The sequence below is a fragment of the Homo sapiens genome, chromosome 21 (assembly GCF_000001405.40).
Source record: "Homo sapiens chromosome 21, GRCh38.p14 Primary Assembly".
NCBI classification, from domain to species: Eukaryota; Metazoa; Chordata; class Mammalia; order Primates; family Hominidae; genus Homo; species Homo sapiens.
In genome coordinates this window covers 16,193,485-16,207,231 of record NC_000021.9, presented here as the reverse complement: position 1 = coordinate 16,207,231, position 13,747 = coordinate 16,193,485, and the positions used below count along the sequence as shown (strand labels likewise).

At 36.5% G+C, this 13,747-nt stretch overlaps 1 long non-coding RNA gene across 9 annotated transcripts in view, besides 1 other annotated feature; it reads right to left on the bottom strand.

Annotated features, from left to right (window-relative positions):
- Nucleotides 1–13,747, bottom strand: part of MIR99AHG (mir-99a-let-7c cluster host gene) — a 561,240-nt gene that overhangs the window by 424,496 nt on the left and 122,997 nt on the right. For 2 of the 9 annotated variants that reach the window (NR_027791.3, NR_136543.1), the window contains exon 1: nucleotides 12,599–12,853. The exons of the other annotated variants lie outside the window; for them this stretch is intronic. This is a non-coding gene — a long non-coding RNA (mir-99a-let-7c cluster host gene). Of the gene's footprint in view, nucleotides 1–12,598; nucleotides 12,854–13,747 lie in introns of those variants that run through there. 9 annotated transcript variants of the gene reach the window in all.
- Nucleotides 12,636–13,396: an enhancer, noted in NCBI's record as "H3K27ac hESC enhancer chr21:17566156-17566916 (GRCh37/hg19 assembly coordinates)". NCBI's record gives its function as "activates a minimal SCP1, AML or CMV promoter by ChIP-STARR-seq in naive and primed H9 embryonic stem cells {active_cell/tissue: H9 hESC(naive and primed)}" and the evidence as "EXISTENCE:reporter gene assay evidence [ECO:0000049][PMID:30033119]".

Sequence of the window (13,747 nt, the reverse complement as noted above, 5' to 3'; positions counted from 1 at the left end):
AAGTTAATGCAACTGAAAAAAGAACAGGAGAAAATATTAAAGACATGTTCATGTCCTTGGAGGAAAGACAAACTAATAAATAATAAATAACAGTTTTATTAGTTATTTAACAAATAACTAATAAAAAATAAATACTAGAGAAAATGGGCTTGCTTAGAAACAAGTAAACAACAATAGCAATGCCTCAAAAGGTCTATATTAGATATTTTTGGAGTAATCCAAGAACCAGCAAATAAACAGAAATGATTAATACTTTATATAAAATGATAAAAACTAAAAAGCTTAAAATCATAGAAAATGTCATGATATCAAGGTATTACCTTCAAAAGGCAAAAATCCTTATAGCTCTGGCCATAGTTTCTTTATATCTGAAGTCATTTCTAATACAAAGATGGAAGTAGAAATAGGAATATGCAAATATCCACACATAAAGGACGAAAAAAAAATTGAAACCAAGTTATCAAGAAAAATATACTAGCCAAGAAGGCTGGTTGCTCTATGATGTAGTATCTACGGAGGAATGGACTATAAAAGATCATGCATATGATGCTAAATGAACTATATCAATAAATAGCTTTTAAACATTATTTAATTTTTTTCAGGAATACATGTTTCCCTAGTTATTACATGAAATAAAATCAATAAATCCACTAGGAACCGGCTGATGTTAACAAAAAAAAATGCAGAATATAATAGAGATTCACTGAGGGTTTTAATTTCTTAATATTTTTTATGACTTATCTACCTAACTTTATAACTGTGACCATGAATTTACAGCTCTACACAACAATCCCCACACAACAAAATCAAGAGAGTCAACTAAATTAAAAGTTTAGAATTTTAAATATTAAATTAAAAAGAAAAAAACCTGTCACGAAAAATATAATCTGGAACACATTTTTAGTCTCTTTACAAATTCAGGCATCATCTAGAACTGGAGCATGTGGTTCCAGTCAGTTCTCTTCTGCCACATTTTTTTTTTTTTTTTCTGAGACAGAGTCTTTCTCTGTTGCCCAGGCTGGAGTACAGTGGCACATTCTCAGCTCACTGCAACAGCACCACCTCCACTCACTGCAACCTCCGGCTTCGGGGTTCAAGTGATTTTCCTGCCTCAACCTCCCCAGTAGCTGGGATTACAGGCATGCGCCACCAGGCCCAGCTAATTTTTGTATTTTTAGTAGAGATGGGGTTTCACCATGTTTGCCAGGCTGGTCTCAAACTCTTGAGCTCAAGTGATCCACCCACCTCGGCTTCTCAAAATGCTGGGATTACAGTCATGAGCCACATGCCCGCCTCCCAGTCAGTTCTCTTCTGAAAGACTATTTCTTTTGCTATGTAGAATAGACATTACATTCCTCACTTAAACCTCTCTCATTGCCACCTCCTCTTTACCTAGTATAGGTACCCTTCCAGTGCACACAGCTAGAGAAGCCCTAGCACAGGTTCAGTCTCATGACACACCTCCCCTACTAGACTCGGACTTCTCAACTTCCTGGAGGGTTTCCATAACAACTCCGTGCCTTTATGTGACTACATCAAGAACTGGAATCAGTCCACACAACCCTCACTCTCAGTAGCTTTGCTAACTTCTTATTTACCCATCATTCCCTCCTTCCTGTCAGCACAAGTATCTCAACAATCTCATTTCTGCATGCATTTGTTCATTAAGCTGTAATCACGGCCCCCAAACTCATTAAAAAGATAACACTCCTTGGACTTTAACTCTGAATCTCCTTCCAATGAGCTACGCTCCCTGCCCTATTTCAACTACTGTTCTAAGCTTGCAACTCAACTGCAAAATCTCGACCAAGGAGGGAGATCTCAATTTTGTATCCTTTAAAGAACGTTTTGCAATTTTTAACCTAAAGCCCTTCTCTAACTATTCTATCTGAAAACAGCCCCTCTATTCTTTAAATTTATTTTTTTCTTAATACTTATTACTTCTTAATTTATCCACATATTTATTTGGTAATTTGGTTAACACCTATCTCTCCTTTCTAAAATATGTACCACTTGGTAATGATTTTCTTAAAAAAAAAAAGTCTATATTGCTATCACATAGAATAATCAACCAAATACAGCAATCACTTGATAAATACTTGTTTAATGAGTATGTAAACTTATTTAATCACTCAATAGTTTTTGAAACTTAAAAGGTTGGTGTGACAACTGCTTGTTATTCACCTAAAATTCATTGTCCCTCTTCTTAAAGACATGACTTTCCAGCTAGAAACCACATTTCCCAACTTTTCTCATATGCAGTTGTGACTGTGTAACTACAATTAGATGAGTAGAATAGAAATACTGTGTTTAATTTCTAGGCTGTCTTCAAGTTAAAGACAGGCTGTGGTCTCCGAAACTTGGCTCTTTTTCTCTTCATATGTGAACTCAGTGATGTCTGCAACCTAAAAGGCAACATATTGTGGGATGAGAGAGCAACAAGGTGAAAGAAACCTGGGCTCCTGAATTACCTTGAGGAGCAGAACGGCCCCATTAGCACAGAAAGGCTGGCTTGTACCATGAGGGAATTTAACTGTTTTATGTAAAGGACTTAATTTTGGAATCTTTTTCTTCTTTCATGCACTTGGCTTCCATGATTCTCTCTGTTATTTCTCTGAACTTAAAGATTTTCTTAAAGGTTCTTTTCTTAAAGGTTCTTAAGGGTACTTTTCTGGTCAACCACTGTTCTTAATTTAATCTAGTGATTTTTCAATGTTTCAATCAATGAAATGTTTGAGAATTTAATAAAGGATATGTACATATATTCTTCTTTATACTAGTGCTTATACAGCATATAAACGCTGGTAGTTTTTAATAACTCTGAAGCCTATCTTCGAATCCTCTAAGTAACTACAGTAACAGCATTAAAAAAAATTCTTGAGAAATGGCACATATTATCTTGGTTTAACTACCACTCATGTTCCAGGATATTTTCCTATCTAAATAAAGAAAATATACAACCATTTGCCAACCTTATTAAACCCTTTAGATTTGTCTCTAGTGCCCTTAGGATAATCCAAACTAGACCTTTCAGGAGGGAGCCAGTATTTATCTCCAAACCTCCTTCTCAGCCCTTTGCCACTCCCAGCACTCGGTGCTCCATACAATTTAAACTTTTTGCAGTTTCTCAAGCTCACCAGACTCTCAATTTTATAATATTTCATATCTCTTTCCTCTGCCTGGAACATTGCTTACTCTCACTTACATATCTCTCTACTCTTTCAACAAGACTCCATCTGAAACCCATGCACCCTGTCCACATGCTACACCCCCAATACCTTTTTATTAACACACTTTATCCACCATATCTTCATTGCAGTTCAACTCTCAGCCTTTACCTCCCACAAAATCAAGGACTATCTGCCTTGTTCACTTTTACATCCCTCATACCTCTCACAGTGTTTGATATGTACTAGGTTCTTAATATATATTTTCTTCAGTTATAAATTTGCTACACTTTTCTCAGCTATAGAAAGCTTAATGTTTAAGATGCTGGAGACCAGACACGGTGGCTCATGCCTGTAATCCCAGCATTGTAGGAGGCAGAGACGGGCAGATCACCTGAGGTCAGGAGTTCAAGACCAGCCTGACTAACATGGTGAAACCCTGTCTCTACTAAAAATACAAAAAAAATTAGCCAGGCATGGTGGTGCGTGCCTGTAATCCCAGCTACTCAGGAGGTTGAGGCAGGAGAATTGCTTGAACCTGGGAGGCGGAGGTTGCAGTGAGCTGAGATTGTGCCATTGCACTCCAGTTTGGGTGACAGAGAGAGACACTGTCTCAAGAGAAAAAAATAAAGGAAAGATGTTGGATTAAAAAAAATTCTGGTGTTGAAGTAAACTGTATCTCCTTGATGCATGATTCTCAACTGTTCTGAAGAATATTCTTTCAGTTGGAAAGAAATATCTCCCCTTGGAATTCCCAGTGTTTTATGACTCTCTCAACATGGTATGACAGACTAATCTTTCAGTGGATAGGCTGTGTATTGTGTTCATATTTTCATCCCTCATAGAATGAAGCACAGTTCCTTACATATCTTGAAATATCTCCACAGTACATTGCATGACAAAAGCAGGGTTTAAAACACTGTATGTAATTGAAGGAGGTGTAAATTGTATGCTTTTATTTGGTTTATAGTCAAGAACCCCACAAGGGGCCAGTGGGAGCGGAGTGGATGAGAAACAAGGATGGTGGGGAGACTTTTCACTCTATATATTGTCTACTTTTGTGATTTCAACATGAATATGTTTATCTTAAAAATAATTAAAATTTCTAACACCTTCTTTATAAGAAAAACATAACAAAAGTTTAAAATCAAGGGATAGCCTTGGAGACATTATTTGAAACATATAAGACAAAGTATCAGCACTCAGAATGTATATAGCAAATGCCAAAAAGTCAATAAAAAAAGATAAACAATTTAATAAAGATTGTCAAAGTTATAAGGAAGCACTTCACTGAAGAGAACACTTGAATAAATAAAGATACATTTATAATAAAAATGATGAATGTATTGCATTTTGTATATAAGGTCTCCATCGCTCACTTCATTTCAGAGATTTACTAGATATCTTTCTGTTTTCATTTAGAATCAAAAATATGAAAATTTTAAAAGCCTTAAAATATCATTTACCCAACAAATAAAAGTTAAAACATTGGACAATATTAAGAATTGGAGGCCGGGCGTGGTAGCTCACGCCTGTAATCCCAGCACTTTGGGAGGCCGAGGTGGGCGGATCATCTGAGGTCAGGAGTTCAAGACCAGCCTGACCAACATGGAGAAACCCCGTCTCTACTAAAACTACAAAAAAAAATTAGCCCGGCATGGTGGCGCATGCCTGTAATCCCAGCTACTTGGGAGGCTGAGGCAGGAGAATTGCTTGAACCTGGGAAGTGGAGGTTGCAGTGAGCTGAGATCATGCCATTGCACTCCAGCCTGGGCAACAAGAGCAAAATTCCGTCTCAAAAAAAAAAAAAAAAAAAGAATTGGAAAGGACTGAGGCAAATGGGAATGCTAGCAACTGCTGATGGAAATAGAAATTTGTCCACTACCCTTGGAGAGAAATTTCAGTATTTTAGAGAGTGATTGGAAAAGTGGTAAAATTGAGACCACATATATCTCACAACATATAAATTCCACTTTGGGTATTATCCTAAGAAAAATTTGATACATGTTCACAAGGGTGCATATATAATTGTGTTCTTTGCAATGCTGTTTGAAATAGCAAACACATAGAAACAACTTAAATGCCTCTGAAATGTGCAATGCAGATGTTTTCGGTGTTCTCATATAACCTTGGCACTTATATTTTCCTTACACATTGAGGATGTTTTACTGCAAGCACCTGCCACTCTCTGCCTGAGGGTGTTCTCTAGCCAAGAACATGCTAGGGTTGCCTTGAGATGGGCTGGGATTCTAGAATTCATGGTCACAGGAGTAACCTTCAACCAATGACAGAAAGGAGTTTCAGATACACACCCCAGCTTCCTTGTCCTCAAGTGATACAACTCTGAAGTGGTCCACCATTAATCATATAGTAAGAAATGTGTAGCTGTGATTTAAAAAAATGATTAAAAATAGAAATGGTTAGAAATCAATATTTCAAAAGCCTTAAATGTTGTAGAGACAGAAAGAGAGAAGACAAAGTTCGTATCTTGTTTCTGTTTTGTGCAACCAGGTGGATGATGGATTGACATGGTAAAAGATTCTGGCAAAAAGATGATTATTTGAATTCAGACGTCTTGAGGATGAAGTGCCTGTGGCTAACTGAATATACTGGCTTAAAGTTTGAGAGCAAGAAACAGGCTAGAGATGGGCTTATAATGGTATCTGAAGTTACGGAGATGGATGAGATGAACAAAGGAGAAAGAAAAGTAAGAGAGGGCAACCCAGGAAAAAGCAGTGAAGTTCATGAATATTTAAAGAATGAGCAGAAGATGTGCCTTCAAATGGAAATGAAAGAAATAAGCTAATCTGGTGGAAGGAAACCCAGTGGTAAGAAAGAAAAATAAAATGCTTATTTCATAAATGTCCTACCTGAGGACATATTGACAATAGCTTCTGTTATGGTTTAAATATGTCCCCCAAAGTTTATACATTGGAAACTAAATTGCCATTGAAACAGTATTAAGAGGTGGGGCTTAGTAAGAAGTGATTGGGTCATGAGGGTGGAGTCCTCCATAAATGGATTGTTATTGCTGGGCTGGGTTAGTTATTGTAAGAACGGGTTGTTGTAAAAGGGAATCCTTGGGCAGTAAGGCCATACTTCGGGCAGTATGGCCAAACCACTGGCTTTCCTTCCACCAGGTTAGCTTCTTCCTTTCATTTCCATTTGTAGGAGCATCTTCTGCTTATTCTTTAAATATTCTTTGTTGGTTGGAATGTAAATTAGTTCAAGCTCTGTGGAAGACAGTGTGGTGAATCCTCAAAGATCTAGAACCAGAAATACCACCTGACCCAGCAATCCCAGTACTGGGTATATACCCAAAGGAATATAAATCATTCTATTGCAAAGACACATGCATGCATATGTACACTGCAGCACTATTCACAATAGCAAAGACATGGAATCAACCCAAATGCCCATCAATGATAGACTGGATAAAGAAAATGTGGTACATATACACCATGGAATACTATGCAGCCATAAAAAGGAATGAGATCATGTCCTTTGCAGAGACTGGAAGCCATTATCCTCAGCAAACTAAGGCAGGAACAGAGAACCAAACACCACATGTTCTCACTTACAAATGGGAGCTGAACAATGAGAATACATGGACACAGGGAAGGGAACAACACACACCAGGGCCTGCTGGGGGATGGGGTGTGGGGAGAGAGAGCATTAGGCAAAATAGCTAATGAATGTTAGGCTTAATACCTAGGTTATGGGTCGACAGGTGCAGCAAACCACCATGTTACATGTTTACCTATGTTAAAAAACCTACACTTCCTGCATATGTATCCCAGAACTTAAAATAGAAAAAAGTTTTTTAAAAAAGGGACTCTACCCCTCGGGCTCTCTGCTGTCATCTGTCTCACATTCTTGCTTCCACCAATGCCATTCTCTTGGAATTCCCAGCCTCCAGAACCATGAGCCATATAAATATCTATGGTTTATAATTTATCCCAGCCTGTGGTATCATGTTATAGCAACAGAAAATGGACTAAGACTGATTCTTAGAAACCTGTTTCTATTTTCAAATTCTAAGACAAATTCCAAGTTGCTACTACTGCTTCTTTATCTTCATCCCCATCTTTCTTATTTTTAAAACTTTTTGTTTTCAGAATTTCATTTCCCACTCAACTAAACCGACCCTTTGCTGATGCTATAAATTTGAATGCTAGGTCATCAAAATATATGTTTTTAAAAGAGACAATATTACAAAGTAGCTACAAAGCAACAAAACAAGACTGTCTGAAACACTTACAAAAGATCACCACCCTCCTCCCCATTTTCACTATTACAGAAACCCAACCTGGGTGGTATATATATTACTATTCATCAAGCCACAAGCATGTTCTCATGCCACTTCTCTCTTCTTTTCCATCTGTCTTAAGTGACATGGATTTAGAGAACCATACCTAAAGGGTCATTCTGAAGAATGCTTTTCATTTTATTAAGATTCTCTGAATTAGGTGAATGGTGTAGGTGGATAGTGTAACAGAGCTTTGATCCACCTGTGGAAACTCATGCAGTCAGCAGTCATCTTTAGAAATGTGCTTTAGATATCAAAAATGATAGTGTTACTTTCACTCAGAATACAAGAAGCAAGTCTATTTGATACTCCAATTACCATTTGTTAATTACATAATCAGTAACATCTAGTTTTGTTTTGGTTTTAATTGCTTTTTCTCCACCTCCAGAATTTGCACGCACAGAATGTTTAAGCACAGGCCTAACTACTTTCCACATCTTTTCACATTCAATGCTTACAACAGTCATACGAAGTAGGCATTACTATCAATATTTGCAAGGGAAAAGGAGGTTTATAATAGATTAAAGACTTTGCTTATGGTAACACATAGATCATAAGTGAGTCAGAATTTGAAACCAAGTTTTCTGATTCCAAAGCCCACGGCTTTGAAAACTCTTGTCAAGATGGCATTGCAATAATATGGTTTGAGCCCCGTGCCTTTGCTTCCAACATGTAACAATAATAGATAAGTTTTAAAAGAGGTGATATAAAAGAAAAGTAATAGTCAAAAACAAGATAAACATACCAGAAATAAACTATAAACACAAAGTGAGGTACACTGCACCAGATGGTGTCTAGAATGAGAAGCAAGCCAATCCTTGTATCTGCAAAGTAACTGGATGCCACATGTGTCCCACAGGGAGTAATAATCAGTGCCAAGCTTACTGATTAAAACCTGAAGGTAAGACAAGAGGAAGCCGAACAACTGACTAACACCTCCCTTTTCCTGGAGCCACGGCTTGCATAGAGCTGCTTTCTTGGGGAGGCCAAAGCAAGCAGCCATAATCTCACAGTCACATCCTGGGACAGACTGCTCTTTGATTTAGTGACTAGGTTTTTGATATCCCCATTAGCAGAGATTATAGACTGGGAAACGAGAGGGTACAGAGCCAACACTAAGACAATAGGAATGGTGCAGAAGGGCTAGCAATGAGAGAGAGAGAGAGAATTTTTAAATCCTTCTCATTCCAGTTAAGCCTGAAAACCAAAATTCTAAGCCATGAGAGAATGATATAAAAAGGCACCAGCAAAATTTTAAAAACAACATTCAGTGAAGTTATTCCAGAAGACATGAAAATAATAGAGCGGTTTCAGAATAACTTCAAAATAAGCATGCTAGGATTTTGGAAGAGACAAGAAATAACATCAATACAATGTGTAACAAAGTAAGTAGAAATAAAACATTTGAAGTGGCGATGAGAATCAATTAAAATTTCCAGAAAAGAAAAACATTGTCAAAAAAATAAATTCTGGAGTGGACATAGTCAAAAAAAGAATTAGTAAATGGGAAGATGTCTCAGTAATTCACCAAAAGTGCAGCACAGATAGATATATAAAATAGTGTGAAAGAGAATTTAAGAAATATGTATATTATGAAACTTTAACATATATCTATTATGGAGTTCCAGAAAAAGAGATTAGAGCTAATGTTAAAAGAAGCAGTGCCAGGCACTGTGGCTCATGCCTGTAATCCCAGCACTTTGAGAGGCCAAGGTAGGCGGATCACAAGGTCATGAGATCAAGACCATCCTGGCTAACATGGTGAAACCCCGTCTCTACTAAAAATAATAATAAAAAAAAATTAGCCGGGCATGGTGGTGGGTGCCTGCAGTCCCAGCTACTTAGGAGGCTGAAGCAGAAGAATCATTTGAACCCGGGAGGGGGAGGTTGCAGTGAGCCGAGATCCCGCCACTGCACTCCAGCCTTGGCAACAGAGCAAGACTCTGTCAAAAAAAAAAAAAAAAAAAAAAAAAGCAATATTTGTGCTTTGTGGGATCAAAATTGTGGAAATAATTTCAGGAAGATCAAAGTGTCTAGAAAGATGAACAAACTCTATGCTCTCTACCCAGTAAGAAGAAGAATAAAACTATACTGCTACTCTCTAGGAAAGTCTTTAAGGACCCATAATTTGTCTGGGATGATAGGATCTAGTCCTATAGATTATTTTCTATATTTTGATGGAATAAATCATCTTTAACATAAATTGTTCAATCCATTTGAAAGAATGCAGCTGATATAATATGTACTCTTAAAGAGAAGGCACGATTTCACTGTATCAGCTGTCAACTGCTACAAGGGTACAGAAGAGCCTGAAATTTAGTGACCAAGAGAACTGAAGAAGTAAATCAAAGAGTGTCATAACCCTGGCACATGTCCAGGCTACTCTCTCATCCCTATGTGAGCTCATAAGTGCACACACACACACACACACACACACACACACACCACCAACCTGGTCTATAGGCAAAGGAGAAGTAATCATCAATATGGTAATAAATACATAAGAAAAGCAACAAACCCACTAGTGATATATTCTGTAACAAGCGCTTGGTGTTACGCTTCACACCATTGGTGAAGCATTTTTTTTTCTTGTTTTATTCAGAACACTTGTCAGAAGACTCTTTCGTTTTATTTCATCTACACATGTCTTCAAAACTAAGTGCATAACTAGGAGGAAAAGACATTGCCTTAAGATGTTAGAGGCCTAAGCACAAGATATGTGTTTATGTTTGTATGTGAATATATGTTTTATATATAGATAAGAGAGATCAGCATATATTAATCTGTGACCATATAGCCACTGTTTCCTAGTAATCAAATACGTAATCTAAACATCTATGGAAGACTAGCTTTACATAAGAAAATATACACCTTCTTAAAATCATGGTATTAAAATTATGTGGTTGACTTCAGTTTTTAAAAGATGCCTCTGTCTCAGCAGCAAATCAATAAGTAAATATACAAAGAAAAGACAGGCGTTACTAGTTTAAGATTAAATGTTAGGAGAACTAAGAAGTAGGTCTTTAGTTTTTCACGATTTATGTACTTTCATTAGAGGGAAGCTCATTCTTTTGTAGCGTCTCTCCAAAGCCTAGTAACTTCCTGCCTTGTGGTTAGACTTTATAACCAAGTAAAATAATAAAGTTCCCTTTAATTTTTGGTCTTTACATTCATTTGGAGGGAATAGGTAAGTGGTAAACATTTTTTAAAACATCTTTATACAAAAAGGATAAACTTTCAAAGGTCTAATCTCTTGGCCTTTTAAAAACCCTCAGCCACACCTTAACTTTACTTGAGATATAGTGAAAGAAAATCCAAAATGATTTATATGTCCTTTCCTGACTATTCATATTAAGATAATAACAAAAGACCTTATTAACAAAACACTTTGGGCAATTATGATAAGACCACAATTTTTTAAAGCTCAAAAGATTCATGCAAATAAAATCTTTGACATTTTCTTTCAAAAAAAATATTTTCACTTTCCTGCAGCACTAATAAACAGCTAGGAACTGTGTATGTGGGCAAGGGAGAATGAATGTAACAGGTGACGAGAGCATAATGAACTTGTTCTCTTAGAAAAGGATTTGTCAGTCACATTTTGCAATTGTTGAAGGAAGCTTGTATCAAATCATAGAAACAGTTCGGAAAATAATTATTCTTTTTATACATAATTTTTGTATAAAGGCAAGCCTATTACTTAGTTCCACAACAGTTGATTTTTCCTTAAATCTTTGCAAAAGAGAGCTAAGTAATGCTTCAAAATTGCCTTATAACTGAAAGCACATTCATTTTTTTCTTAAAAGCTTTCTTCCCTTTGAAGAGTTTTGGAGCTTCTAACTCCAATATATTTTTTCAGTTTCTTAGTTTACTTTAGCAAACAGAATGTATAAGTCTCCAAAAACAAGAGCCTACTCTAGTAAATTTTATTTTTTAAGTGAGTATACAAAATTTGTATTACGCAGCTGCTCTTTAAAAAGTTTAAATGAATGTGACGCACGAAGTAACCACACAGACCTCTATATTTCATCAGATCAACAGGGTGAAAGCACATGTTTCACTTCGTCTCAGTTGGTAACATCTAATGCAGTCACCTTGTTAATAAAATTGCTTTTTTAGCAAAGTCAACAACAGCAATGATATCTTGGCACTTAATAAATTGTAAAACTGAATCTGCAATTTTTGCCAAAGAAAAACATTTCTATTAACATTTCTAGGAATAGTCTCTATAGGCTCTGATATTTTTAAAATAAGAAGCACATTTAAAGTAGAGTTATAAGTATGACTACACGGGGAGTTAAACAAAATTTACACTCTGAGACATTGTTCTCCAGAAAACATAAGCCTAGCAACTTTCAAAATATTTGCACCAAAATAAAAACTACTTGGTACCATTTCAAATTTTTTTAAAGTGTGTAAAGTTTCAATGAAATATGAGCAAACAAGACAAAAAGAAACAAAAGAAGTTTGCATGCCGCTTCCTAAAAGAAATTTAAACAATTCTTTGCCAGGAATAACATCCACATACTACAAGAAGGGAACTGTTGAAATCAAACACACTTACTTTTTAATATGTAAAGATGCACTTTTTTTTTTCCTATTTTAAGTTAAAAATAAGAGGACACACCAGTGATCTTGCTGGCAGTCAGATAACGCACAGGCCCTGACCCTTCAACTGGCCAGGAATTCTCACACAAAGCTCTTTTCATGCAGACTGCGCTATATATTCCTAAGATAAGGCGGCAAAACATGAAGCCGTGGAGAAGTGACACAAAGTCGAACTAAATGAAATGTTTACATATATTCTGTCACACCGTTGTTCCTTCATCATCTATCCCACACATGATTTGCCTAAAACAATGCTGATTCAAGTTGAAGAGAAGCATGATTTAAACCAAAGGACAATTTTCAGAAAAAGGACACACGAGACAATACAAATATTGTATTTTTCTGTTTGCATCACCAAGGTTAGTGTGAAATCAAGCAGAAACAAAACCACATCGTCTAAGAACTTCTAAGAAATGCTTTTGCTATAATTTCCCTCAAAGCACAACAGATTTCTTAACTTGTTTTACAACATAGAAAGTATATTTTAAATATAATATCTTAAATCTGCACTCACCATGAAAAAGCAACAGTTGCGTAGAGTAAAAGTGTGCTATTTTCTGCCCCTGTTCCATTTCAGTTTTGCCTATGGTTGTCCAACACCCAAAAGCCCAGAGCTGCCACCCAGAGGCCCCTTCCACAAGCTGGCTTATTTGCCTGTCAATCTGAGTGCCGGCTTCTCTATTATGCAGCTGTGCACTTTGCTGAAGTTCTAATATAATTTCCATACGCTTGCCACCGCCTGAAGTAGGCGATTTGTTCTTTCAGTTCAATGAATACTCAAATCACTTTTCAGGTAACTGTAGGATCAAGCTTTAAGTTGTTCACCCTCAAGTTAAGGAGTTCTTGGTAAGAAGTGGGTGGAGAGAAGTAAGCTCACTACAAGGGAATTCAGAGTGTAATCAGAACGCAGAGAGAAACTTCCTCTTTTTTCCTTCCTTGCTAGCCTGAGCTACTAGTGCCTCTTTCACAGAACTTAGGAATGTAAAGGGAGGACGCAAAGAGGCCCCGCCAGACAACCCTTTCTCAATCAATTAGCTTGCAGCCATTACTTGTGACCTTAGGTCACACAGCATAAGTGTGTGGGGCGTGCCTTCAGGGGTCCCAAGGCTACTTATTACAGCTTAGATAACCAAAACCAAGCAGACACTAAAATCTAGAAATACTTTAATAGAAAATGTACTGAAGATGTGACTAAAGGTAAACTCCGAGTTTTTTTTTTTTTTTTTGCAGTAACTTTTTGCAGTAACTACTATCTAATCCAGTCAAATATATTTTTTTTTTTTTTACATTAAGAAATCTAAAACAATGTTTTCCATGTTGGATCAAACAGGATTTAGAATGAAGCAGTGAAACTTTTTTTTATATTAAATTTCAAGCTGGGAATAGAGAAATGACAAATAATATATCATATAGATCACAGGATCATATATGTGTTACTCATATAGCTCAGGTTCCAAGGTCTCATTTGAGTTTTGTAAAGAATGCTGGTTTATTACACCTAACTGCAGAGTAGAACTACTGTAAACAAAGTTCTCTATGCTTAAGGAAGTCAAAATAATATCACTTTAGGGGCTAGGAACAACTATTTTAAACTCTAAAGATTACATACTATCTTAGTATCATGATTTCTCTCATTCTCATAGTTGTTTTAATGAGAATTTCC